Source organism: Homo sapiens, chromosome X (genome assembly GCF_000001405.40).
Source record: "Homo sapiens chromosome X, GRCh38.p14 Primary Assembly".
NCBI lineage: Eukaryota > Metazoa > Chordata > Mammalia > Primates > Hominidae > Homo > Homo sapiens.
The window spans coordinates 68,497,006-68,524,178 of record NC_000023.11 but is presented as its reverse complement, the minus strand read 5'-3'; the positions used below and the strand labels follow the sequence as shown (position 1 = coordinate 68,524,178).

At 42.1% G+C, this 27,173-nt stretch overlaps 1 protein-coding gene across 2 annotated transcripts in view, besides 3 other annotated features; it reads right to left on the bottom strand.

The window, feature by feature from the left end:
* YIPF6 (Yip1 domain family member 6) overlaps positions 1 to 25,128 on the bottom strand; it is a 38,232-nt gene extending 13,104 nt beyond the window's left edge. Inside the window, exons 1-6 of one of the 2 annotated variants that reach the window (NM_173834.4) lie at positions 25,056 to 25,128; positions 12,202 to 12,330; positions 10,774 to 10,852; positions 5,367 to 5,409; positions 2,682 to 2,807; positions 1,262 to 1,419 (exon numbers count right to left, since the gene is read on the bottom strand). In NM_173834.4, coding sequence (NP_776195.2) covers positions 1,262 to 1,419; positions 2,682 to 2,807; positions 5,367 to 5,409; positions 10,774 to 10,852; positions 12,202 to 12,330; positions 25,056 to 25,112 — 592 coding nt within the window. In that variant the 5' untranslated portion in view covers positions 25,113 to 25,128. The remainder of the gene's footprint in view (positions 1 to 1,261; positions 1,420 to 2,681; positions 2,808 to 5,366; positions 5,410 to 10,773; positions 10,853 to 12,201; positions 12,331 to 25,055) is intronic. The other variant, NM_001195214.2, reaches the window with a different exon arrangement.
* Positions 25,010 to 25,489: an enhancer, noted in NCBI's record as "active region_29725". NCBI's record gives its function as "activates an Ori minimal core promoter by ATAC-STARR-seq in GM12878 lymphoblastoid cells {active_cell/tissue: GM12878}" and the evidence as "EXISTENCE:reporter gene assay evidence [ECO:0000049][PMID:35858748]".
* Positions 25,010 to 25,962: a biological region, named in NCBI's record as "H3K27ac hESC enhancer GRCh37_chrX:67718059-67718733".
* Positions 25,288 to 25,962: an enhancer, noted in NCBI's record as "H3K27ac hESC enhancer chrX:67718059-67718733 (GRCh37/hg19 assembly coordinates)". NCBI's record gives its function as "activates a minimal SCP1, AML or CMV promoter by ChIP-STARR-seq in primed H9 embryonic stem cells {active_cell/tissue: H9 hESC(primed)}" and the evidence as "EXISTENCE:reporter gene assay evidence [ECO:0000049][PMID:30033119]".

Below are 27,173 nucleotides of genomic sequence, written 5' to 3'. Positions count from 1 at the left end.
ATCATCATCATCATCACATCTCTGGGAAATCTTTCCTGAATAATCATGTCTGTCCCACTGTACTGTGTATAAATCTCCATTTCCCACTTAGAACACCTATTGCCTTTAAATGTTTTCACGTCGGGCTGCTCTGTTAGATTGTGAACTCCAAGGACAAAGACCATGCCTAAAATTATGCCTGACGCATAGTTTGTGATTAATGTTTGCTGAATTAAAGTTTCTCTCTCCTATGATTCTACTTCGTGATCACCTGTGAGCCTGGACACTGGATAACTAAGTAAGTATAATTACATTTATGGTAATTATGAGATTCTCAGTGAGAGAATGAGGGGCTCTCCCCATGGGAAAAGCACCCAAGCTTAATATACAGTCTTTGGAATATCAGTTCTGGCTCTCTCAGACCTTTGTTGGATTACTTCTTAGCTTTCAACCATGTTCCAGAGCAATGAGATGTTACTACACTTAAAAATATTAAGCAGTCTGCCTATCCATTAAAGCAGAAGCTAGTGAACACTTCTAAATTTAAGCTGGAATCTTAAGAGAACTTTAGGAATATAAAAACAATGAGCACATAGCATTCATTATCATTGCTATAGGCCCTTCCTAGTCTTTAGCAAAATGTTCTACTGAAGCAGAAAAGTGCTATATAATGATACTTACAATCTACACTGGAAGGTGGTATAGTATAGTTCTTAAAGGTTCATGACTGCCTGGTTTGCAATTTGACTCTCTTACTCACAAGTAATGCAACCTAGGGCAAGCTGCTCAACTTCTCTGTAACTGTTCTTCATCTGTAAGATGGGACTAATAACAGTATTTCTCTATTAGAGTTGCTGTGAGGCTTAAATGGGATAATATATATAAAGCACTTAAACAGTGCCTGGCCTTTGATAAGCAATCTGTAAATGTTATTATTTTTATTTTAATTAGTTTATCAGGAAAAGATCCCAGTCATTCCACAAGTCACCTAATGCCTTGTATATACCAGGACTAGGCTAAATGTAGTGTAATCCACTTTCCCAACCTTTTTTTTTTTTTAAAGAAAGAAAAAAGATGTGACTCTCCACATCTTATAAGTCCAGATATCCAACTCAGATAAGCCCCATCATTGCCTACTCAGGGAAGAGGGTTCTATGGATAATACTATCAAGAATCATATCACTCACATCTAACTTTGGACTTATACTGCTCCTCATCTGGTCTTCATCATTAAATCATGTTTTTGTCTGTTCTGTTATTGTGGAAATAAGTACATACTTACCAACTATAGACCAGGCAAACATCACAATCACCACAAAAAGCCGAACCATGAAGTTTACAGGTCCTGGATCAGCCAAAAGTACCAGCCGGCAAATCAGCATTGCTACTGTCAAGGGAAGTATACAGTAACCCAGCACACAGAGGCTCTGAAAAAAAGATCTTAAAAACAAAATACATTAATAAAGATCATAAATACAACTGATGGGTGTTATGACACAGCTTATTACATAGATTTCTCTATGTAACGGAATGTTGCCTCCTTCTTGGTACATAACATCTACATCCTAACATTAATTATTAAGTACATGCTTTTGGCTGGGCGCGATGGCTCACGCCTGTAATACCAACACTTTGGGAGGCCAAGGGTGGGGGGGTGGATCACCTGAGGTCAGAAGTTCAAGACCAGCCTGGCCAACATGGTGAAACCCCGTCTCTACTAAAAATACAAAAAAAAATTAGCCGGGCATTGTGGCAGGCACCTGTAATCCCAGCTACTCAGGAGGCTGAGGCAGGAAAATCGCTTGAACCTGGGAGGTGGAGGTTGCAGTGAGCTGAGCTTGTGCCACTGCACTCCAGCCTGGACAGAGCGAGACTCCATCTCAAAAAAAAAAAAAATTAAGTACATGCTTTAATTTTCTTTCCCCATACTCTTCCTCCTCTCCTCTCAAATTCCTTAAAAGTCAATCATCTAACACCAGATGATCTGCTCTAGTTCCTACAGATATCTTTCTCTGAACCTCTAAGGTAGTGGTTCTTAATCCTTTCTAGTTTATAGACCTATTATACTTGAGAATTTGTTAAAAGCTAGGGACCACTTGCCCCCCAAAACGTACATACTCTTCTTACACAAAAAAGTCTGCCTATGATTTCAGGGCCTGGAAAGGGCATCTGAAGCTTATCAAAGGACCTCTGATAATTTAAGATAATTTAACTTAACAAGGTTATCTCTGTACAGTGGTAGTGGTTTTAAGAACACTTCTCTTTGGCCCTTATTTAGTTTGATTTTTCTTTAAAACAAAATATGAGGCCAGGTATGGTGGCTCATGCCTGTAATCCCAGCATTTTGGGAGGCCAAGGTGGGAGGATCACTTGAACCCAGGAGTTCAAAACCAGCCTAGGCAATACAGTGGGACCCCATCTCTACAAAAAAAAAAATTTTTTTAATTAGCCAGGCATAGTAGCACATGCCTGTAGTCCCAGCTACTCGGGATGCTGGGGCAGGAGGATCCCAGCTACTTGGGACGCTGAGCCTGGGAGATAGAGGCTGCAGTAAGCCATGATCACACCAATGCACTCGAGCCTGGGTGACAGAGTGACACCCTGTCTCAAAAAAAAAAAAAAATCTAGCTAGCCTGTATTCCTTAATCTAAGATATACTACCTGGCAAGAGGAAAAAAAGAATGCATTTTAATAATACTCACATGTTCCCTCCAAGAAGTTTTGAGTTGAGGGTGATGGTAACTGCACCAAACCAGACAATGACAAACACCTCTGCAAATTGGGGCCCTCCATCTTTTTCACTATCTGCAGAGTCTCTTTGCAGCATTCTGAGAAAAGGAAACAGCGTAAGAATTGCTTAATCTTTTACTTAGGGCAACAAAGTTAAGGCATGGGTTCTCAAACTTTGAATCAGATTGCTGTGCCATACCTCACCTGAAGATCTGTAATATGTAGGTTGTGCTAAAAGGAAAATGACACAAGCATTTGGCAAGGCTCCCTTACTGCAAATTCCAAATGCCTCAGGACTACAAGGGGTGCTCCATTTGACCTTGTTGAAATGTTTAAATGAATTATTGAAGACCTTTTTTTTAAGCAGAGGTTATAAACTGAAGGGTCAAATGTGGCTCATATATAATGAGGCCTTGGGCTTATATAATATTTAAGATGATTTTGAATTTAAGTTGACACTATTTTATTTCACATAAGAATATGAATTTCTAGATTTTCTTGAAAAAACTGTTAGACTTTCTAACATTGAGCCTGCATTCCAACACTGCAACAATCAAGTGTAACTGACATAAGTACAAGGGGCTTACAGTCACCATATCACTACTACATGCATTTAGGTTACTATTCTAGCCTTTAGACACATCAGAATTTGTAGTTCTTGGGTTAAGATTTCAGTTGAGATATTTAAAAATGGAAATAGGCCAGGTATGGTGGCTTAGCCTGTAATCTCAGCACTTTGGGAGGCCACGACAGGCAGATCGCTTGAGGCCAGGAGTTCGATACCAGCCTGGGCAACATGACGAAACCCCCGTCTCTACAAAAAATAAAAAATTAGTTGGCCATGGTGGTACACGCCTATAGTCCTAGCTACTAGAAAGGCTGAGTTGGGAGAATCGCTTGAGCCTGGGAGGTTGAGGCTGCAGTGAGCTGTAATCACACCACCAACTCAGCCTGGGTAACTGAGTGAGACTGCCTCAAAACAAAATAAAAATAATAAATAAAAATGGAAACAGTCTATAAACCTTTTTAGTTGTTGATTTTTAAAAAATCAAAACATACAGATTATTACTAAAGGGTTTTGCTTTGGAATTGAGTAGTTGAACAACCACTTAAATATCCTTTCTTTGTCTAAGAATTTTACAGATATAAACTGTTTTGAATATTTGGACTTGGTGTTATTACCAAGAAAAATAATAACTGTAAGCTCACAACCTCTTCTTATTAAACAGTATAGAGAAGTCACACTGTAAGTCTTTCTTGCCCTGCTATGCTACTTGGCAGTATGCACAGGCTTTTGTATTCTATGATATGCATATTCCATTCCAAGTCGTGACAACCAGATGCAAAGAATGGCCAGCACTCATCACTTGTTGTCTGGAATCCCTGTTGCTTCAGCATGGTATGATGGAAAGAATATTAACTAGCCTGGAAGGCAAGAGACCCAGATACTGATCCTAATTCTGTCACTAGATATGTCACTTGATGTCCTGGGACTCCAGTTTTCTCTGCAACTAAGTGGGGTTAAACTACATAATCTATAAGGTTAAACTTTCAAAAGTAAAAAAAATATATATGCTCGGGACATCTAATATAAACCCCTCCATCAAGGCATTAGGCTGCATCCCTTAACATGGTTACTAAAAGCATAAGAAATAGTACTCTACATTATTACCTAAATTAATATATGCTCAATTTAAATTTAAAAAATTAGAGAGGTCAGCAAGAAACTTAGTGAATTTAGACCCATAAAGGGTTAAGCCTGGAAAGGACCCTCAACCACTCCCTTTACAGATATGGAAGAGGCGACCCAGAGTGACCAGGTGGGAAGAGATGTGTAATGAACCCTAGAGGTACAAAATAGGTAGTGAGGAAACCTGAGGTTGAATCTCAGGTCTACCACTGATTATGTGATCTTGGTTAAATCCTCAACCTTTTTGAACCTGAGCTTGTTTGTCAAAAAAAAAAAGAAAAATAAAATAATTTTAATTATTGCAATGAGGTTAAAATAAGAGAAAGTATTTTAAAGTTTTCTGCAAACTGGGAAAAATTATACAAACATTGGTTATTAGTAGCCCAAAGTCACATAGCTAGCTGACAGCAGAGTCAGAATGCGAACTCAGAACTGAATTCCAGGGCAGTATTTTTTCCCGCTCTATCAATGGTTATATTCATCTCTCTAGTGTAACCTTCTTCTCCTTCCCCGTCCTCTTCCTTTACCTACAATGTGTATGGAAAAGTACAACACTCTGAAACATGATCTTGCTTTTAACTCTCCTAATTTATTCTCATTCTCATTCATATTTTTAGTAAGATTACAGAGAATTATGTTTGCAAACAAAGGGTGCTTAAACCTTAATTCACTTAGTTTAATAATAGGGAGGAACAGGAGAGTAAATAAGTAAATAAATGTTTGTTGAATAGACATGGCTAAAACAGACTAAAATGTCATTGGTTAAGGAAGGTGAGCCTAATTTCATCATATTTTAATTGATTTGGAAAGTGACTTTAGAGGCTTAAATACCTAAGGAGTATAACATGTACAACATGTCATATAAGTCCTAAATGAAATATTCAATCAAAATCCCCCACAATTTTGGAAATCCACAAAAAAGTCTAGTCTAGCTCAAATGACAAAGAAAGAAAATGCAAGTACTTACAATGCGAGTGTCACACAAAGGATCAAAGGGCCCCACAAATCCCCTACAAGACAAGAAAAGACAGAAGCGAAGGTAATATTTTCTGTCTTTATTCTAATATCTACCTCTCTCCCTCCTAGAATTCAGACATCAAGGCTCTCTTTGGCTGGCCAAGCCTTCCTACCTCTCCTCTCCCACCACCTGCCCTCCCTGTCCCCTAATCCTGAATGCACTTCTTTACATAGACTTCCAGTTTCGCTTATTTCATATCCCACAAATCACCCTTTCCTTCTCCCCATCTACTAAGACACATGCTGGCACGCTATAATTAAAGACCAATGGACAAACAATCAGCAGACCTAGGTTCCCTACCCCATATTCTAAGAAAAAAAGACTATAGCCAAGGCACTTTACCAGTCAGAGACTGCATTAGACAAGGCAAGTATAATCATGCTCAGTTCACAAATACAAAAAATGAAGCTGAGAAGGAAATGACTTGCCTAGCTTTATATGTGGAGGTGGGACCAGAACCTAGGGCTATTGATTTTTTTTTTTTTTTTTGAGATGGAGTTTGGCTTTTGTTGCCCAGGCTGGAGTGCAATGGCGCAATCTCAGCTCATAGCATCCTCTGCCTCCTGGGTTCAAGCAATTCTCCTGCCTCAGCCTCCCGAGTAGCTGGGATTACAGGCACCCGCTATCATACTTGGCTAATTTTTGTGTTTTTAGTAGAGACGGGGTTTCACCATGTTGGCCAGCATGATTTCGAACTGACCTCAGGTGATCTGCCTACCTTGGCCTCCCAAAGTGCTGGGGTTACAGGCGTGAGCCACCGCACCTGGCCTGATTCTTTTCTTTTTTTTTTTTTTTTGAAACAGGGTCTCACTCTGTTGCCCAGGCTAGAGTGCAGTGGTGCGATCATGGCTCACTGCAGCCTCAACCTCCCAGGCTCAGGTGATCCTCCTACCTCAGCCTCCTGAATAATTGGGACTACAGGCACACGCCACCACACCCAGCTAACTTTTATTTTTTGTACAGATGGAGTTTCACCATGTTGCCCAGGCTGGTCTCAAACTCCTGGCCTCAAGCGATCCACCTGCCTCAGCCTCGCAAAGTGCTGGGATTACAGGCATAAGCCACCACACCCAGCCTGGTCTTTTGATTCTTAGACCAAAGTTCTTGCCACTCTGTCATACTGCTTCCCTTTTATAATTAGTATATTGAATTAATATAGAGTTGCTATTCTTCTAGGTGAAAAAACAGCCCAGTATTGGTAATTTCACAAGGTTAAACTTTAATAACATATGAAAGCTTTCTGAAAACTGCAAAAGGCTCTGCAGGCTCTGCCAACATCAGGTCTAGCAAACATGGTCCTCAATCAAAAGCTGCAGGCTGGATGCTGTGGCTCACGCCTGTAATCCTAGCACTTTGGGAGGCCGAGGCGGGCGGATGGCCTGAGCTCAGGAGTTTGAGACCTGCCTGGGCAACATGATGAAATCCCATCTCTATTAAATACAAAATATTCGCTGGGCATGGTGGCACGTGCCTGTAATCCCAGCTACTTGGGAGGCTGAGGCATGGGAATTGCTTGAACCCGGGTGGCAGAGGTTGCAGTGAGCCAAGATTGTGCCACTGCACTCCAGCCTGGGTGACAGTGCAAGACTCCGTCTCAAAAACAAACAAACAAACAAACAAAAACAGCTGCTGAGTGATTTGGTCGGGTTCGGTAGCTCATGCCTGTAATCCCAGCACTTTGGGAAGCTGAGGCGGGAAGATCACTTAAGGTCAGGAGTTTGAGATGAGCCTGGCCAACATGGTGAAATCCCGTCTCTAACTAAAAATACAAAAAAATTAGCCAGGTGTGGTGGCACATACCTGTAATCTCACCTACTAGGGAGGCTGAGGCAGGAGAATCCCTTAAACCCAGGAGGCAGAGGTTGCAGTGAGCCAAGATCGCAACCTCCACTCACTACACTCCAGCCTGGGTGACAGAGCAAGACTCTGTCTCAAAAAAACAAACAAAAAAAGCTGCTGAGTGATTTGCATGCCAACAGTTCAGTAGCACATAGCTTAGAGCACAATTACCTTCCTCAATTCATTCCAAAAAGGCAAATATTCCACATCGAACTTTAACCTCACATGTATATAACCTTACCCAAGAGAGGTACGCAAATTTATATACTTAATATTGTTTATTTTTTAATTGTATAAGTAATTTTGACACCATTGTGGAAAGTTTGGAAAAGACATAAAAAACCATAATCCTACCACTTCTAATAAAACTGCTGCTAATTTCATTAATTTTTTTTTAACTGCTCAACTTAAAAACTGAATTCAAGTGTACTGTCATGTGCCACATAATGATATTTCGGTCAATGATAGTGGTCCCATAAAATTATAATGGAGCTGAAAAATTCCTATCACCTAGTGACATCTAGTACAACACATTACTCACGTGTCTGTGGTGATGCTGGTATAAACAAACCTAGTATGTTGACAGTCATATAAAAATATAGAACAATTATGTACACTACATAATACTCTACTTGATAATGACAAAAAATGACTATGTTACTGTGGTTTACGTGTTTACTATATTATACTTTTCATTGTTATGTTGGAGTATACTTCTACTTAAAAAGTTCAGCCTGGGTAACATAGCAAGACCCTGTCTCTAAAAAAATGTGGTTTGTTTTTTGTTTTTTGTTTTTTTGAGACAGAGTTTCCCTCTTTTCACCCAGGCTGGAGTGCAATGGTGCAATCTTGGCTCACTGCAACCTCCACCTCCCGGGTTCAAGCGATTCTTCCGCCTCAGCCTCCGGAGTAGCTGGGACTACAGGCGCCTGCCACCACGCTTAGCTAATTTTTGTATTTGTAATGAGACAGGGTTTCACCATGTTGGCCAGGCTAGCCTGGAACTCCTGACCTCAGGTGTTCCACCCACCTCGGCCTGCCAAAGCGCTGGGATTAGAAGCATGAGCCATCGTGCCCAGACAAAAAAATTTAAAAATTAGCTGGGCATGGTGGCACAGGCTCCGGGCATGGGAGCCTGAGGTGGGAGAATGGCTTGAGCCTAGAAGTTTGAGGCCACAGTGAGCTATAATCACACCACTGCATTCCAGCCTGAGTGACAGAACAAGATCATGTCTCTAAAAAAAAAAAAAGTCAACCATAACACAGTCTCAGGCAGGTCCTTCAGTAGATATTCCAGAAGAAGGCATTGTTATCATCAAAGATGGCAGTTTCATGCGTGTTAATGCCCCAGAAGACCTTCCAATAGGACAGATACAGAGGTGGAAGACAATTGTACTAATGATCCAATTCTGACCCTGTGAAGGCCTAGACCAAAGTGTGTGCTTTTGTCTTAGTTTTTAACAAAAAGTTGAAAAAATAAAACATTGGCTGGGCAGTGGCTCTTGCCTGTAATCCCAGCACTTTAGGAGGCTGAGGTGGGCAGACTGCTTGAGGCCAGGAGTTTTATTTTTTTATTTTTTTTATTTTTTTTTTTTTTGAGACGGAGTCTCACTCTTTCGCCCAAGCTGGACTGCAGTGGCGCTATCCCGGCTCACTGCAAGCTCCGCCTCTTGGGTTCATGCCATTCTCCTGCCTCAGCCTCCCGAGTAGCTGGGATTACAGGCGCCCACCACCACGCCCGGCTAATTTTTTGTATTTTTAGTAGAGACGGGGTTTCACCGTGTTAGCCAGGATGGTCTCGATCTCCTGACCTCGTGATCCGCCCGCCTCGGCCTCCCAAAGTGCTGGGATTACAGGCGTGAGCCACCGCGCCCGGCCAAGGCCAGGAGTTTTAGACAAGCCTGGGCAACATAGGGAGACCCCCATCTCTACAAAATATTTAAAAACTAGCCATGTGTGCCTACAGTCCCAGCTACTCAGGAGACTGGCAGAAGGACTGCTTGAGCCCAGGAGTTTGAGACTGCAGTGAGCTATGATTACGCCATTGCATTTGAGCCTGGGTAACAGAATGAGACGCTGTCTGTTTTGACAGAACTCTAATAAAGAAAGCAGTCATCAGACTAAATGATAGGCTTGAAAATCAAACTGTCAATAAAGGTACTATTAATTTGTTAAATGTTTACGGGTATTTACTATCATATTAATTTAACATTTAGGCCGGGGTGGTGGCTCTTGCCTGTAATCCCAGCACTCTGGGAGGCCAAGGCAGGTGGATCACTTCAGGTCAGCAGTTCGAGACCAGCCTGGCCAACATGGCAAAACCCGTCTCTACTAACAACACAAAAATTAGCTGGATGTGGTGGTGGGGCACCTGTAATCCCAGCTGTTCCAGAGGCTGAGGCAGAAGAATCTCCTGAACCCTGGAGGCAGAGGTTGCAGTAAGCTGAGATTGTGCCATTGCACTCCAGCCTGGGCAACAGAGCGAGACTCCATCTCAAAAAACTAACAAACAAAAATTTAAACATTTGCCTTTCCCTTGGAGATCATTAACTCTTTATGTGTCAGCAGCTTCCAGGAATATTATGTAATAAATGTAAATATTGTAAATTAGCAGCCTCCAGAAATGTATTTTGTAGTAACCACTAGAGCATTTTTTAAAATATATATATATATATATATATATTTTTTTTTTTTTGAGACAGGTCTCACTCTGTCACCCAGGCTAGGGTGCAGTGGCACAGTCACGGCACTACAGCCTTGATCTCCTGGACTCAAGCAATCCTCCCACCTCAGCCTCCCAAGTAGCTAGGACTACAGGCTTGTGCTACCAGGCCTGGCTAGTTTTTTTATTTTTAGTAGAAATGAGGTCTCGCCATGTTGCCCAGGCTGGTCTCAAACTCCTGAGTTCAAACAATTCTCCTGCCTCGGCCTCCCAAAGTGCTGGTATTACATGTATGAGCCACCATGCCTGGCCAGTGTACATTTACTGATGAGGACAATATAATAAGCAAAATGTTTCAATCTCTGAGATTCCAATCTAAATTTTTAATGTCTGCCTGTAATCCTAGCACTTTGGGAGGCCGAGGTGGGTGGATCACCTGAGATCGGGAGTTGGAAACCAGCCTGGCCAACCTGGTGAAATCCGTCTCTACTAAAAATACAAAAAAATTAGCTGGGCATGGTGGTGGGCGCCTTTAATCCCAGCTACTCAGGAGGCTGAGGCATGAAAATTACTTGAACACAGGAGGCGGAGGTTGCAGTGAGCCAAGATCATACCATTGCACTCCAGCCTGGAAGTCAGAGTGAGACTCTGTCTCAAAAAAAAATGAAAATAAAAATAAAATAAAATCAATTTTTAATTTCTGCCAGAAGTTTGATTTACATATTCGTTTACATATTTTTTTATCCTACAAAATGATGTCAGTTTTATTACCACAGAGACTTTGCCTTATAAAGTACTTACGATAAGGTACAGTGAGATAGATTAAGCAAACCCTTAAAAACCTCATATACTTACAATCTCTCAAAAGAGTATTACTTTTCCTTGGGTACAAAACATGCATGAATTTTTTCCCAACAGCTTTTAGATCACGCATCTGAAAGACAGAAACAACTTGTTGTATTGTGATGACCAAGGTTGCCAGCAGCCTTACTTAATTTGCTAAAATTTCTTTCATTTCAATCTCCTGTGAACTCTTCACTGAATTTTGCAGATAATTCCAGTTCAACTCCTTCACTACACAAACAAACCAGAGAGGTAGGGTATGCTTTTTCTATTAACTTCTTAAGCCAACTTTTAACACCTTTCCACATCTGTTTTGATCTGTTCTGTTTTGATGTTGAAAAAATCCATAAAAAAGAAACACAGCCCTCCCAATAGGCTGCTTAAAGAAACTAAAACAATTGTACTATAAAAAGCTGCTCTACAAAACACAGTATGTGACATTCAGTTCATAGAAGATGAGGTTCCAAGGACCAATTAGCCTGCTCTCTAGCTACTACATTCTTTGCAATATATGAAATAAATTTTTAACATTCCCAATTTAATTGGTAAATGAATCCTAGATGCCAGATACAAAAAAAAAAAAAAAATCAAGAAACTGGAAGAAGGGTTCAGTAATACAAATACAACCTCTCAAAGCACCACTGAGCTAATTCTGTTTTAATTTTTTCACCTAGAATTTTACCCGTTATTAAACACTTTGTAAACATAATTTATAATAGTTGCTTAGCATCCCACCACAAAGATATAACATAATTTACCTAACCAATACCTCATCTGTGGTTCATTTATTTCTAGCTTTCCCCTATTACAAAGAATGCTATAATAAACATCTTTGTATATTGATACTTTAATGTTGAAAATTTTTGTTTTACATTTTAAAACTTTCCTTATACTACATTTGGAGAAGTATGATAATATATTGGTTTAAAAAGATTTGGACATTTTAAGACCTTTTTTTTGTTTTTTGAGATGGAGTCTTGCTCTGTCGCCCAGGCCAGAGTGCAGTGGTGCGATCTCGGCTCACTGCAACCTCAGCCTCCCGGAGACAAGCGATTCAGTCTCCCAAGCAGCTGGGATTTCAGGCATATGCCACCATGTCTGGCTAATCTTTGTATTTTTAGTAGAGATGGGGGTTTCACCATCTGGGCCAGGTTGGTCTCGAACTCCTGAGCTCAGGTGATCCGCCTGCCTTGGCCTCCCAAAGGGCTGAGATTACAGGCGCGAGCCACCGCACCTTGCTGTTTTAAGATTATTAATATGCATTATAACCAAACTGCTCTCCAAAAAGGCTGTACCAAATTAATCTCTAGGATAAAATATTAAACTTCAGTATATAAAATATATTCAAAATCAGTGAACCAAATGAAAATATTGCAAAGTACTATTAGTTACTTAGTCCCATGATACTGAACAGAAGTTCTCTCAACTAGTCTAACTTACGATGGTATTGCGAACAGATTCATTTAATGTGGAGCTGTCAAACTCCCGGATGCGAGATCTCATAGGAATGGTGATTTCTCCTTCTACGGGGATGTCTTGTGAGATGGATATATCTGAAAGGCCTGCAAACTGAGAAGAGTCAGGGGAAAAAAAGTAAGCCTGTAATAAACTGTAGCATTCCTCATATATATCATCATTTCCTAGAGAGTTGGGACCATGTATTTTGTAGGGTTTTACATAGGAAAGTAGGTGTTAGCTCAACAGACATTACACAATGCAGTTAACAATAATCCTCAAATTTATTTCTTTAAAGATTAAACATAATGAAAAAACTAAAGTAAATGTCATAGACACCTTCTTGCCCACCAACATTTAGCATAAAATCTTCACATGGCACAAGCTAGCAAGACTGAGATAATAATTGTAAAGTTATTAAAAAGTGACCTTTTAGCAATCACTGTCTTAGAATGGCCACGTTTCTGTTGCACTTCTGCTCCCTAACAGGCTCTAGTGGCCTCTGCTGGCTAAAAATGAGCATTACATGAACCATAAAGGCAAGTGCGGGAAACAGGGAAATAGCAAAATATACCTTGATTACAGTCTTTACAGGTTACCTGGCAATCACAGAGCAAATAAAATTTTCAAAGTGAATAAAGAATGTGAACTTTTAAATTCATAGTCATCTGCCAAATGTTATTACAACCGAAACTCAAATCTACAAATTCCTAAGAAAATAGAGGCAATGCCTTCTCATACAGTTTTTGGGCCAGTAGGCACAATTTTTAGTGGGCAACAGTTGCAGATAAAGGAAACACAAGACAGTATACTGAAATTTTAGAAAGAATGAGGATGTTCACATCCGTCAAATTTTATTACAACCAAAACTCAAATCTACAAATTCCTAAGAAAATAGAGGCAATGACTTCTCATACAGTTTTTGGCCCAGTAGGCACAATTTTTAATGGGCAACAGTTGCAGATAAATGAAATGCAGACAGTATACTGAAATTTTAGAAGGAATGAGGATGTTCAAAGAATTTGTAAAAGGCTGGGCATGGTGGCTCATGCCCGTAATCCCAGCACTTTGGGAGGCCGAGGCGGGCAGATCACCTGAGGTCGGGAGTTTGAGACCAGCCTGACCAACATGGAGAAATCCCATCTCTACTAAAAATACAAAATTAGCTGCGCGTGGTGGCGCATGCCTGTAATCCCAGCTACTCGGGAGGCTGAGGCAGGAGAATCGCTTGAACCCGGGAGGTGAAGGTTGCGGTGAGCCGAGATCACGCCATTGCACTCCAGCCTGGGCAACAAGAACAAAACTCCGTTATAATAAAATAAAATACAAAAAAATACAAAAAATAAACAAATAAATAAATAAATAAAATAAATAAAATATAAAATATAAAATAAAATAAAATAAAATAAAACAAAAACAATTTCTTAACCACACTCATATTTCTTAAATATAAGAAACATGCCATAGAATTTTTTTTTAAAGGTTTCTTATAGAGGAAAGAAAGGAATAGGATAGAGCAGACAGGGAGAGAAACTAGGCTTTTTTCAATATATGTTGTCCATATAAATGACTTGCAATCATATAAACACTTCACACAATTATTAAACAAAATTAAAATTTGAAGGAAGCAATCCCTGAAACTGAGAGAAAAAATTAAACCAATGAAACTACCATGTATTGAAATAAACACACAACCACAAAGATAGCACCTATTTCAAGTGACTATATAACACTGTAATTTGACTTCTGATTAAGATATAGGAAGCTGGAAAGACCATTCCCCAAGTAGAATAATGAGAAAAGGCTAGATACTTTACTGAATCATAACTTTCCCTGAATTCATCTGAGAACTGAGTTGTAGGGAGACCAAGTAGCCTGGATGAAATCTAAAGAAAGCCAGGTGCTTCCACGAAGAGACATCAGCACTGGCTCAACAGTAGCAAAGCATGAGGGGAAGACAATGCTGCACACCACACCACACAGATGGGTAAGAATTCAAATAAAATTTTAAATAAATTGCTAAAGTCCAAGTATGGATCAGCACAAGAGTACAGAATCCCTGGAAGCAATAGACGCAAGGGGAGTTCACACCCACTTACAGGCTCTTCTCTAGAAAAAAGCCCCTAGAGGAAAGAGCCTTAAAGCCACTTAGACAAAAACAAGTTGCCTTCAGAACACAGGTGACAACTCACTGAAGCTGGAGAAAGGGAAAAGGAAAAGCTCTCTACTACTAAGGGATGGACAGAAAACCATCCTGGGCCCAGACCATTAAGAGTTTCCTTCAGCTAGGAGGGGGACAGGATCACTAAGAAAGTGCTACCCAGGAGACCCAGGGACACATGGTCTGCCTAAGGCAGAGACTAGACTATGAAAACAAAGAATCCCCTTTCCCTGGCCCCTATCACCAGGCTAGCAAGTATGGAGTAATAAACAACAGCAGTCTACTGCTGGAGGAAGTGCTAGAGCTTAGAAAGAGACTCACCATGAGATGCAAGGGCAAAGACAGAAGCTGAGTACAGAACATGAACATTAATAAAAACATTGGGGCTGGGTGCAGTGGCTCATGCCTGTAACCCCAACTCTGGGTAGCTGAGGTAGGAGAATCGCTTGATGCTAGGAGTTTGAGACTAGTCTGGGTAACACAGTGAGACCCCCATCTCTACAAAAAATGTTTTTAAAAAATTAGTTGGGCATGGTGGCATGCAACTAACTGTGGTCCCAGCTACTGAGGAGGCTAAAGTGGGAGGATCACTTGAGCCCAGGAGGTCAAGGCTGCAGTAAGATATGATCACGCCATTGCAATCCAGCCTGGGCAACAGAGTGAGATGCTGTCTCAAAAAAAAAAAAACAACAACAAAAAACAAAACACTGGGACAACATAGCACCCCCACCCCTAAACTCAAGGTAACAACAGAGGAATCTGAAGCTGGTGATGCACTGAAGGTAACCATAGCAACAACAACAACAACAAAACAAACAAAGCTCAACCCTGACTAGACTGACTTAACCCCTACTGACTGACAACTCAGCAGCAGAGATGTGCCACTTCTAGCAGTGTGTACATGATGTCCAGCGTTCAATATCAATAACAAATTATCTCCCCCATACTCACATGAAAAAACAACCCACTATGAGACAAAGCAATTAACAAAACCAGGCTCTGAGATGACCAAGATGTTAGAATTATCAGAAAAGAAATTTAAGATTACTATGTTTAATATGCAAAAGGCTCTAGTAGAAAAGGTACATGCATGAATGATGATGAATTTCTGCAAAGAGATGGAAACTGTAAGAATCAGATGGCAATGCTAGAAATACATGAACATAGTAACAGATAAAGAATGCCTTTGCCAGCCTTATCAGTTACCTCAATACCAAAGAAAGAATTCAGAGCTAGGTCAGTCAAAATTATGCAAACTAAAACAAAAGGAGAAGAGTAAAAGAAGAAAAGAAAAAAGAATAGAGTATCTAGGAACTATGGGAAAACATTAAATGGTCTTATTATGTAAATAATTGGAATCCCAGAAGAATAGAAAGATAATGGCTCTGAAGAGATATAGGCTAACCGCAGTGGCTGATGCCTGTAATCCTAGCACTTTGGGAGGCCAAGGCAGACAGATTGCTTGAGCCAGGGAGTTCCAGACCAGCCTGGGCAACATGGCGAAACCCCATCTCTACAAAAAAATATTTAAAAATTAGCCAGGAGTGGTGGCACACACCTCTAGTCCCAGCTACTCAGAAGGCTATGGTGGGAGGATCACCTGAGCCCAGGAGGTCGAGGCTTGCAGAGCCCAAGATCACGCCACTGAACTCCAGAGTGAGACTCTGTCTCAAAAAAAAAAAAAAAGAATAGCTGAGAATTTTCCAAAAATAATGAGACATCAAATGACAGATACAAGCCAAGAGAACCCCAATCAAGATGAATACCAAAGGACAAAATGAAAAAATCCACAAACCTAGACACAAACTATTGAAAACCAAAGATAAAGAGAAAATCTTGAAAGTAGCCAAAGAGAAAGGCATTGCATTTACAGGAACAAAGATAAGAATCACAATAAAAGGCCGGCATGGTGGCTCACGCCTGTAATCTGAGCACTTTGGGAGGCCGAGGCAGGTGGATCACCTGAGATCAGGAGTTCAAGACCAGCCTGGCCAACATGGTGAAACCCCATCTCTACTAAAAATACAAAAAATTAGCTGGGCATGGTGGCAGGTGCCTGTAATCCCAGCTACTTGGGAGGCTGAGACAGGAGAATAGCTTGAACTCAGGAGGCGGAGGTTGCAGTGAGCCAAGACCATGCCACAGCATTCCAGCCTAAGTGACAGGGCGAGACTCCATCTCAAAAAAAAAAAAAAATTATAATAGACATCTCTAACAAAATATAAACAAACAAATAAACAAAGAAAGACATCTCACCAGAAACTATGCAAACCAAAAGAAAATGGAGGGACACTTTTAGAGTGCTAAAAGAATAAAACTATCAACACTGAATTCTAAACCCAGCAATAACTATTAAAAATAAAGTCAAAGTAAAAACGTTTTTCAGACAAGCAAAAGCTAAAATATATTCTACAAGAAATGCTAAAGGAAGTTCCTCTGGAAGAAGGAATATGATATCAGAAGGAAACTTGGATTTACATAAATAAATGATCTCCCAAATTAGTTAAAATGAAAGTAAATATGACATTTCTTCCTATTTTTAATTATTCTAAAAGATAATTGCCTAAAGCAGGGGTCACCAAACTTTCTGTAAAGGGTCAAACAGTAAATATTTCAGGTTTTGAGAGCCATATGGTTTCTGTTGCAACTGCTGAACTCTGCCATTGTAGCATGAAAGCAGCTAAAGATAACACATAAATAAATAAGTGTAGCTCTGTTCCCAGAAAACTATACTTAGAAAAACAGGCAGTGGGCCAATTTTTAAATTATAAAAATATAATTTAGGAGATAATTGGAAATTTGAACCCTGAGATATATTAAGAAGTTATTAATTTTTTACATGCATTAATGTTATTGTGGTTATGTTCTCTTTAAAAGCAGAATTCTAATTTGGGAACTGTGGCACACACCTATAGTTCCAGCTAGTTGGGAGACTGAGGTGAGAGTGTCCCTTCAGGCCAGAAGTTGAAGGCTGCGGGTGCTATGATCACGACTGTGAACAGCCACTGCACTCCAGCCTGGGCAACATAGCAAGAAGGCAACTCTAAAATAATACAAAATCAAAAAAAAATTTCTTATTTATTTATTTATTGTTTTTTTTTAGAGACAAGGTCTTGCTCTGTCATATAGGCAGGATTGCAATAACATGATCATAGCTCACAGCAGCCTCAATCTCCCAGGCTCAAGCAATCCTCCCATCTCAGCCTTTCAAGTAGCTGGGACTGTAAGCATGTGCCACCACACCAGGCTACTCTTTAAATTTTTAGTAGAGACAGGGTTTTGTCATGTTGCCCAGGCTGATCTCGAACCTCTGGGCTCAAGCAATCTGCCCATCTCGGCCTCCCAAAGTGCTGGGATTACAGGTATGAGCCACCGTGCCCAGCCAGAATCCTTATCTTTTAGAGATACATACCAAATATTTACTAATGTAATGATGCCTGGGATTTGCTTCAAAATAATAAAGAAAGTAGGTAGGGCTGTAGAAGAAAGAAGATTCATCGTAAGTAGATAATTGTTGAAGGTGTATATGGGGATCCAATTTACCTTTTCTTTTTTTTTTTGAAATGGAGTCTCACTCTGTTGCCCAGGCTGGAGTGCAGTTATTATTAGTTTTGTTATGTATGATAACAAAGAAAAAGTCCTTACCTGTTAGAGAAACGTAGGGAAGTATTTACAAATGAAGATGATATGTCTGGGCTTTGCTTTAAAATACTCAGAAAAGATTATGAAAGATAAGAAAAGACTGAAGAACCATTACAGACTGGAAGAAATGAAGGAAAAATAACAACTAAATGCAATGTGGGATCCTAGATAAGATCTTGGAACAAAAAAGGCCATAAGTGGAAAACCTGCTAAAATTCAAATATGGTCTATAGGTAATAGTGTTTTACTAATGTTAATTTCTTGGTTCTTATCAGTGTACTATGCTTATGTACAACGTTAGCATTAGAGGAATCTGGGCGAAGGGAATACAGGCACTCTCTCTACTATTTTTGCACTTTTCTATATGCCTAAAATTAGTTTTAAATAAAAAGGCCAAAAAAAATGTGGTGAGACCAATAAAATAATAGAATGTTGATAGGTATATGAGGTTCATTATGCTACTCTTCATTTTATTTACACATTTGAAAGCTTCTGTAATAAAATTTAAAAATACATCACTCCCTTGTTTCTGCCATTCTCTCAAACTACTCTCCTTCTCTTGCTTGATCAAACTTTACTTTCGCACTTAATCCTCTGTAATCTGGCATTGGCCTTCTCACCACTTTACTGACATTGTGCTCTCCAAAAGTAGCCTCACATAATCAAGAAATACAAGGATCTGCATTCAAGCCTCACTCTCTTTGAATACTCTGCAGCATGTAATGCGTAAACCAACCCATTTGGTTTGTTTTGAGACAGTCTTGCTCTGTCACCCAGGCTGGAGTGCAGTGGCGTGATCTCGGCTCACTGCAACCTCTGTTTCCTGGATTCAAGCGAGTCTCCTGTCTCAGCCCCCCTAGTAGTTGGGATTACAGGCACCCACCACCATGCCCGGGTAATTTTTGTATTTTTAGTAGAGACAGGGTTTTGCCATGTTGGCCAGGCTGGTCTCAAACTCCTGACCTCAAGTGATCCGCCCGCCTTGGCCTCACAAAATGCTGGGATTACAGGCGTGAGGCACCATGCCCAGCCAAAACCAACACTTTTTGAAGCCATATTTTCTCCTCACTACTATAACACTGCCCTTTCAAGTGCCAGGATTGCTTGTTTTCAGTTTCCCTGTTGCCTGCTACTGCTAGGAGAAGCATTGTAGTACAGTAGGAAAAAAACAGGCTTTAAAGTCAAACAGGGATCTCACATGGAAACAATACTGCTATAAAGATAAATAACACTGCACAGCACCTAGCACATACTCAATGCTCAACATGGTATTTGGAGAATACTGGTTAAGAGTGCAGGCCAAATAGCCTGAGTTCAAATCCCAGTTCCATCTTGTACTATCCATGTGACACTGAGCAGGTTACTTAGCCTCTCTGTGCTTCAGTTTCCTCCTCTGTAAAATTGAGATAATGGTACCATCATCACAGGGTTATTGTGAGGAAGAAATGTATTAATACAGGAACACAATAGGGGCTGGATAAATGTTAGCTCAAGTTCAAGATTCCCATGGAGTCAATTCCAGTTCTGTCACTACTGTATAATAAAGAATTTAGCTGGCCTTTGTCCCCTGTACTTGAGAGTTAGCCTCTAAACTTAGAATTTCCTGAATGACAGAGGAGTATTTTTGATATTCACAGGGGCTCTGGTAGTTTATGCTTACAGGTGAGTCACAGTAGGCCCTTACGTAGTTTGTACTCTGGTGATGACTCAGGATGGGGGCTAACCACGTCAGAAACACCGCACATATGACTAGAGGTTTGGGGCTTTAAGTCACAACATATAAGCCCAAACTTTCGGGAGTGGTGGGACCCTGGAGATTGAGTTCCATTATGTGAGCAATGGTCCAATTAATCATAATGAAACCCCAATAAAAACTATAGACACATGAGTGAACTTCCCTGATTGGCAATACTCTGCATATTGTCACATACCAGCAAACCAGGAGGGTAACATGTCTTGAATCCACAGGGACAAGACAAGGAATCTTTGTGTTTGGGACCCTGTCAGACCTCGCCCTGTGTATCTCTCTCTTTTGCACATTTGGATTTGTATCCCTTTGCTATAATAAAACTGTAATTTTAAGTAGAGTGCTGTTCTGAGTCCTATGAGTCATTCTAGTGAATTATGAAACCTGAGGGGAGGGCCAGGTGCCGTGGCTCACGCCTGTAATCCCAGCAATTTGGGAGGCCAAGATGGGCGGATAACTTGAGGTCAGGAGTTCGAGACCAGCCTGGCCAACAGGGTGAAACCCCGTCTCTACCCAAAATACAAAAGTTAGCCGGGCATGGTGGCATGTACCTGTAGTCCCAGATACTCAGGAGGCTAAGGCAGAGGCTGCAGTGAGCTGAGATTGTGCCAAAAAAGAAATAAACCTGAGCGGAACGTGGGAACCCGTGAATTTGTTGCTACTTGCTCTGAAGTGAGGATGGTCCTGGGAACCCCCAAAATTGTGGCTGGTGTCTGAAGAGCAGTCTTGTAGAGGACTGTGCTTTTAACCTGTGCAGTTTGGCCTAACTCCAGGTAGTTGGTATCAGAAGTCTCTGTAGTCACTGAAGTCCCATGTGATCCCCTACTCTCTCCCCTTTGTCTCTTCAAGAATCAGCAACAGTGTTCCATGAGCTGAGTCAGGAACTATGGCCCTCCAGCTCCATGTATAAAAGACAGGACTTCCAGGACCTCAGCTAATGGACCCTGCTCTCTGTCTAGCCCTCAGCGGGAAAGGCGACTTGGATCCATGTCCCTCCCCTTTCCCATCAGCAGGCAGGCTCTTGCACATATATAGATGTGCTCACAGAAACACACATGAACATTGCTCTGCCTGGCTTGGGCCAGTAAGGGGAACAGGTAGAGGCAGGGCCAAAAAACACACAATAAAAGCAGGGACTGCAACCCTAAAAAAAATAGCTGGGAGCAAATGGGTTATACTATTGACCAAAATCCTGGAAAAAGGAATCAACACGGGGAAGCATGAAGCAGGAATCAGCTCAAAGAGGCCTGGCTCCCAGGAGTGGATGACGGGGTAGCCAGTGGCATGGTCTCCAGCCAGCCCCTTCACCTGGGGCCAGCTTCCTCATAGCCTGAGATCTTCCAAAGATCCCAGACTATAGTTCAAGACCAGCCTGGCCAACACTGTGAAACCCTGTCTCTACTAAAAATACAAAAATTTGCTGCACATGGTGGTGCATGCCTGTGATCCCAGCTACTTGGGGAGGCTGAGGCAGGAGAATCACTTGAACCTGGGAGGCAGAGGTTGCAGTGAGCCGAGGTGGCACCATTGCACTCCAACCCTGGGCAACAAGAGCAAAACTCCGGCTCAAAAAAAAAAAAAAGACCCCAGACTGCAGCCATTATTACAGCCTATCTCTTCTTCCTGCCCCCTAAATACAGGCATTACCCAAGATTCTGTCTTTTTAACCCTGTGCAGATGACTCCTAAATCAACAACTCTAGGCAAGACCTCTTCTGCGCCCTGAAGTGCATGTTTTAAAGTCCAACTGCCTGTTGGATATCTATTGAATGGCCTGCCAGTATCTCAAACTAAACATGTCCCAAACTGAATTAGTCAACTTTTAAGGCCCTCATCCAGCTAACCCTCCTTATATATTATCTATTTTTGTTCAGAGTGTCACTATACTCTTGGGTGTCTATAGCCATGCTCTTCAAAATGTGGTACTGGGAGCAGCAGCAGCAGCATCTCCAGGGAGTCTGTAAGAAATGCAAAATCTCGGGCCCTATCCCAGACCAACTGAATCAGAACCTGCAAATTAACAAGATTCCCCAGATGACTGCTAGCACACTAAAGTTTGGAAAATACTGATCTAAGACAAATCCTCCTTCACACGCTACAAACCCTCGTGGATTCTGCCTTGTCTCAAATCCTCTTGTCTCCTGCCACTGCTGTTGTCCAGATCCTTATCATTTCTTCTCAGAACTACTGTAACAGCTTCACTGGCCCTCTAGATTCCAGATATTCCCCCACTGTAACTTACCCTCTATTATGTTGTCCAATTCATGATTTCAAATTCTTCCCTCCTCAAAAATTTCCACTGGCTCTTTGTAGCCCATTAAGCCTCCCAGGTTAGTAGCCAATAATAAGAAATAACACATTGCATTATTATATGCCAGGCATTCTATTAAGTGTGTTAATTTATCCAATGTGTTAACTCATTCCACCTAATAACCCTATGAACTAAGTATTGTTATATCTCTATTTTACAGATGGGGAAACTGAGGCAAGGAGGGGTTTGGTAATTTCCCCAATATCCCACTAGTTAAGTGACAGTGCTTAGAATCAAACCTAAGCAAGCTGACTCCAGAGTACACATTCCAAACCACCACTGTTCCATACTGCCTCCCTAACTCAGTAGGCTTACCTCTGAAGGCTTATCTCCTAATAATTCTCTGTGCTTCAGCCAAAGTGTTGTTCTATAAATATACTAGCACCTTCCAACTTCTGTGCCTTTGTTCACAAGAGGCTGTGTAGCACAAATGGATATATATAAGTCTGCGCTTCTATATATATATGAATGGATATATCCACTTATATATAAATGGATATATAAGTCTGGGCTTCAGAGTCAGATCTAGGTTCAAATTTCATGCATGGCACTAACTGGATGTAGACCCTAGGGAAATCATCAAACCTCCCTGCATGTCATATCCTCATCTGCACATAAAATGTAGTTAAAAGCCACCTAACTGAAATGATTGCTGTAAAGTTTAGTAGCAAATACGCAGAGGATGTCTAGCACAATACCTGGCATGTAGCAGGTGCTCAGTTATTGATAGCTCTTATACTCACTTGCAATTTCAAATCCTACCCATCCTTTGAAGTCCTTTCAAATATAACTTCCACCATGTAGCTTGGTCACCCCAACTGGACATGATAGCATTTTCCTTTAAATTTCTGTAATATTCTTTGTGTAACTTTCTCTTACATACTGCCTTATTTTAGCATTGTATACTTGTCTTATCCCTAAAACTTAAGACTGGTAGCACCATAGAGGCAGGCCCTTTGCATTCCCTACAGCAACTAGCACAGTGCATTACTCATTGTGGGAGTTCACTAAACATTTGTTGAATGGAAGCGGATTGCATATTGAGTAATGAGTGATCAGAACCACTGAAGTTAACTGGGGAAAGCTTCACAGAAGAGGGGTGGAGAAGTTTAAATGAAAGAAACTAAAAACTACTAAGCACCTATGACAATGTCACAGTAGGCACAATGTATATATTATCTCATTTAGTACTCTCACTAATTCAGTGATGTGTTCCTATCACCATTTTCCAAAGGAGGAAACTGGGGTTCAGCCTGATTTTACTCAAGGTCACGATAGAACTTAACACAACTCACTCTTATTGCCATATCCCCAGTGCCTAAAGGAGTGCCTGGAACATAGTAGCGGATGCTCAATAAATATTTGTTGAGTGAGTGAAGAGGTGAACAAATGGAGCTAGTAAGCAGCAGAGCTAGGACTAGAATTAAGTTCACTGATCTCCCAGCTCAGTTCACTATGTTAAGTTGCTAATTCAAAACAGAGGAAAGGGGGCCAGGCACGGTGGCTCACACCTGTGTCCCAGCACTTTGGGAGGCCGAGGCGGGCAGATCACCTGACGTCAGGAGTTCGAGACTAGCCTGGCCAACGTGGTGAAAGCCCGTCTCTACAAAAATACAAAAATTAGCTGGACGTAGTGGCAGGCGCCTGTAATCCCAGCTACTCAGGAGGCTGAGGCAGGAGAATCACTTAAACCCCAGAGGTGGAGGTTGCAGTGAGCTGAGATTGTGCCATTGTGCTCCAACCTGGGTGACAAGAGCAAAACTCCGTCTCAAAAAAAGAAAAAGAAAAAAAAAGAGGAAAGGGAAGAACCATTTACTGAGCAACTACTATATAACTAAACACATTGAGAAGAGGGACAGGAGCAGAATATTGACCTCATTATACTCCTCAGTTCATGGTACTGATAGTATTAGACACGTTACATAAATTATGCCATTTGATCTTTCTAAAAACTGTTTTGAGGCAGGTATTTTTATCTCCATTTTACAGATGAAGAAACACCCTCCCTAAAATGACTTGCCGAAACTCACAAAGTGGGTGGATTCCATCCCAAGTAAAGTTTAACTCCAAAGCCTGTGTTCTTAAAATACTTGTCCACACTTTGGGCTTGCAGTGGAAATTCTATCCCTTGCAGAGACAGGAGCAAGAGAGTATAGTGAAGATGGCCGGGCACAGTGGCTCACGCCTGTAATCCCAACACTTTGGAAGGCCGAGGCAGGAGGATAGCTTGAGCCCAGGAATTCGAGACCAGCCTGGGCAACATGGTAAAACCCCGTCTCTACAAAAAAATACTAAAAATTAGCCTGGTGTGGTGACACGCACCTGTGGTCCTAGCTACTAGGGAGGCTGAGGTGGGAGGATCACGTGAGCCTGGGAGGCAGAGGTTGCAGTGAGCAGAGACCGCGCCACTGCCCTCCAGCCTGGGTGACAGAGTGAGACCTTGTCTCGATTTTTAAAAAAGTAAAAAATAAGAAAGGAGAACAAGTATGGTGAAGAGAATGGCAAGGAGCTGCGACAGGGGTTAAACCTGGCCTACTGGGGTCACTGAACAAGTCAATACTAAAGTTATAAGCAACAAAACGTTAATGTCCCACGGGAAGCAATCTCTCATTATTCCTTCAACAAAGGCTGGTGACAGGTTTTGATAAAATGAGGGGACAGCAGAAGAAAAGATAACTTAAGAAATCACCTAAAGTTCGCCATTTAACACAATGTAGGGGACGATGACGAGACCTGGGAGGATGGGAAAGGAAAGATCGGAGTTTCACAAAAAGACCTGGAAGGAACCACGAGGGCAGGGGGCAAAGCGGTTAGCGCAAAGAACAGGTGCAGTGTTGGGACTGGTTCTGGCATCGGGTACAAGAAGGGCCTGCCGGGCGGAAGGAGCTCCGGCTCTCAGGCCACGAGCCCGTCCCCCGACTTCTTTAGGGGGCACTCTGCCTCACCCTCGGTCCCTTTTGTCGCAGATCCCAAGCTCACCAGGGGCCTGGGCGATGCTGTCCCCGGGTCTCCTGGAGACTCCTCCGCTTCCGCCATCTTGGCCCTCCTTCTCCCGGGTCGCTCCCACAGGTCTTTGCGGAACCTGCGACGTGGAGGCCACTGCCGGTCAGCGCGTCATCGCGTGACGGCCGCGTCACCTAATGGCGCCTGGCAATGGCCGGCGGCCCCGGCCCTTCGCTGTCCCTCGGTCCTCGGGGTGTCAGGGACAGCTCCGCGTCGCCTTGTCTCGCTTCTTCGGGGCCACGGGTCCAGCTAGACACGCTTAGCCTTTAACACTCAAGCCGGATTCTCAGACCGCTCCTTCGCTCTCGCGACCACGGCTGCCCTCTCCACCCCACCGACTCCCGCCCATTTCCCGTTCTCAGGAGTTGGCTTGGAGTGCCAGACCCTCGATCACGGCACCTCTAGGAAAGAGCCTGCCTCTCTTCCTTCCCTTCCCCGGCTACCGAGCGACTTCAAGTTTTCGTGCGCCGGAATGACGGGCTCAAGCCCCAACCTCCTGCTCCCTCCGCCGCCGCCCCTGCCCCTCTGACTCTGCGCCTCTCCTGCTGCTCGCAAGCCTCTTCCCACTTCCTTGACTTTTATAAACCTCTCTACTGCCTCCACGCCGACCCTCCAGGATTACTTTTCTCCAGCACCTCTGGCGGTGGGCAGGGAAGAAGCTTCATTGGCCAAACTTGTTAATCCCACTTCAAAAGTTGCTAAACCATTTGGAGCAAGTACTGAAAATGTTCAGGGTCTAAAAGAGAGTAACTATTGTGACAATAACTTAAAAGATAATCTTCATGTCCCAACCTGTTTTCCTTATCTCATCCTTTTGGGCTTTCAAGGTATTTCTGGTCCCAGTTTACGTTGGCCCCAGGCTAAAATGTAGTCAGACAGGGCAGCCATTGTTGACAGCATCAGCATCCAGGATACCTGGGTGCCCTTTGGTGGTGTTAAGCATTTAACCAACAAGGCAGGGGATGGCTGTGAAATAAAAGTGTTTTATATTTTTGGATAGGCAATCCAAGTAGTAAATTTAAGGAGGAAGAATGTGGAATGTGGAGGGACAAAATTCCAAACGAATGGAGGTGTTTTTTTTTTTTTTTTTTGGTGTTTGTTGTTTTGTTTTGTTTACGATAATTCCCCTTCAGACCAAGCACAATTTTAGTACTTGCACAAATACTGGTGGAAGTGATATTAAAATTTAAGCCAGTAGACATGAAATCTTTTTGCAATTGCAAGGGAATATCATGTACAAATGTCCCAACCCCAGCCTGAGCTTCTCACCTCATCCTCCCACCCCATGATTACCAGATCACTACCTCCCGTCCCACTTCCCTGAGGCCATTGATAACGTCTGCTATTTCCTTGCCAACCTCCAAAATTAGCTATTTCTCCCTAGCCACAAGCCCCTCGCTTCTACCCCTTCTAACCTCATCTATTGGCCCTCTTGGCCACTTATTTCAAGGTAGCCTTGGTGATAGGTTAAGAGGAGGACAGGCCGGCCGGGCGCGGTGGCTCACGCCTGTAATCCCAGCACTTTGGGAGGCCGAGGCGGGCGGATCAAGAGGTCAGGAGATCGAGACCATCCTGGCTAACACGGTGAAACCCCGTCTCTACTAAAAATACAAAAAATTAGCTGGGCGTGGTGGCGGGCGCCTGTAGTCCCAGCTACTCGGAGGGTGAGGCAGGAGAATGGCATGAACCCGGAAGGCGGAGCTTGCAGTGAGCCGAGATCGCGCCACTGCACTCCAGCCTGGGCGAAAGAGCGAGACTCCGTCTTAAAAAAAAAAAAAAAAGAGGACGGGCCATAGGACAATTGAGGCAGGCAGTGCTCAGGTTAGTTGGGCATTATTTCAGACTACCAATGCCTGTTCTCCCCATTTAACTAATAGGGTACTGGTTGGGTGTGAGACAATATGCTTTGTAGAAAGAAAATCAGGAAGGAAGGTTGTGAAGGAAGGGGCTGCACAGGAACAAGCTCCCAAAACTAGGAATTATTCTATGTTTTTAGTTGCAAGTGTATCTCAAAAAATTGCCAGACTAACTCAGAGTTCTTTAATACACCTACAGTCATTACTGTTTGCCAGATCATGGATATTTACAATACAG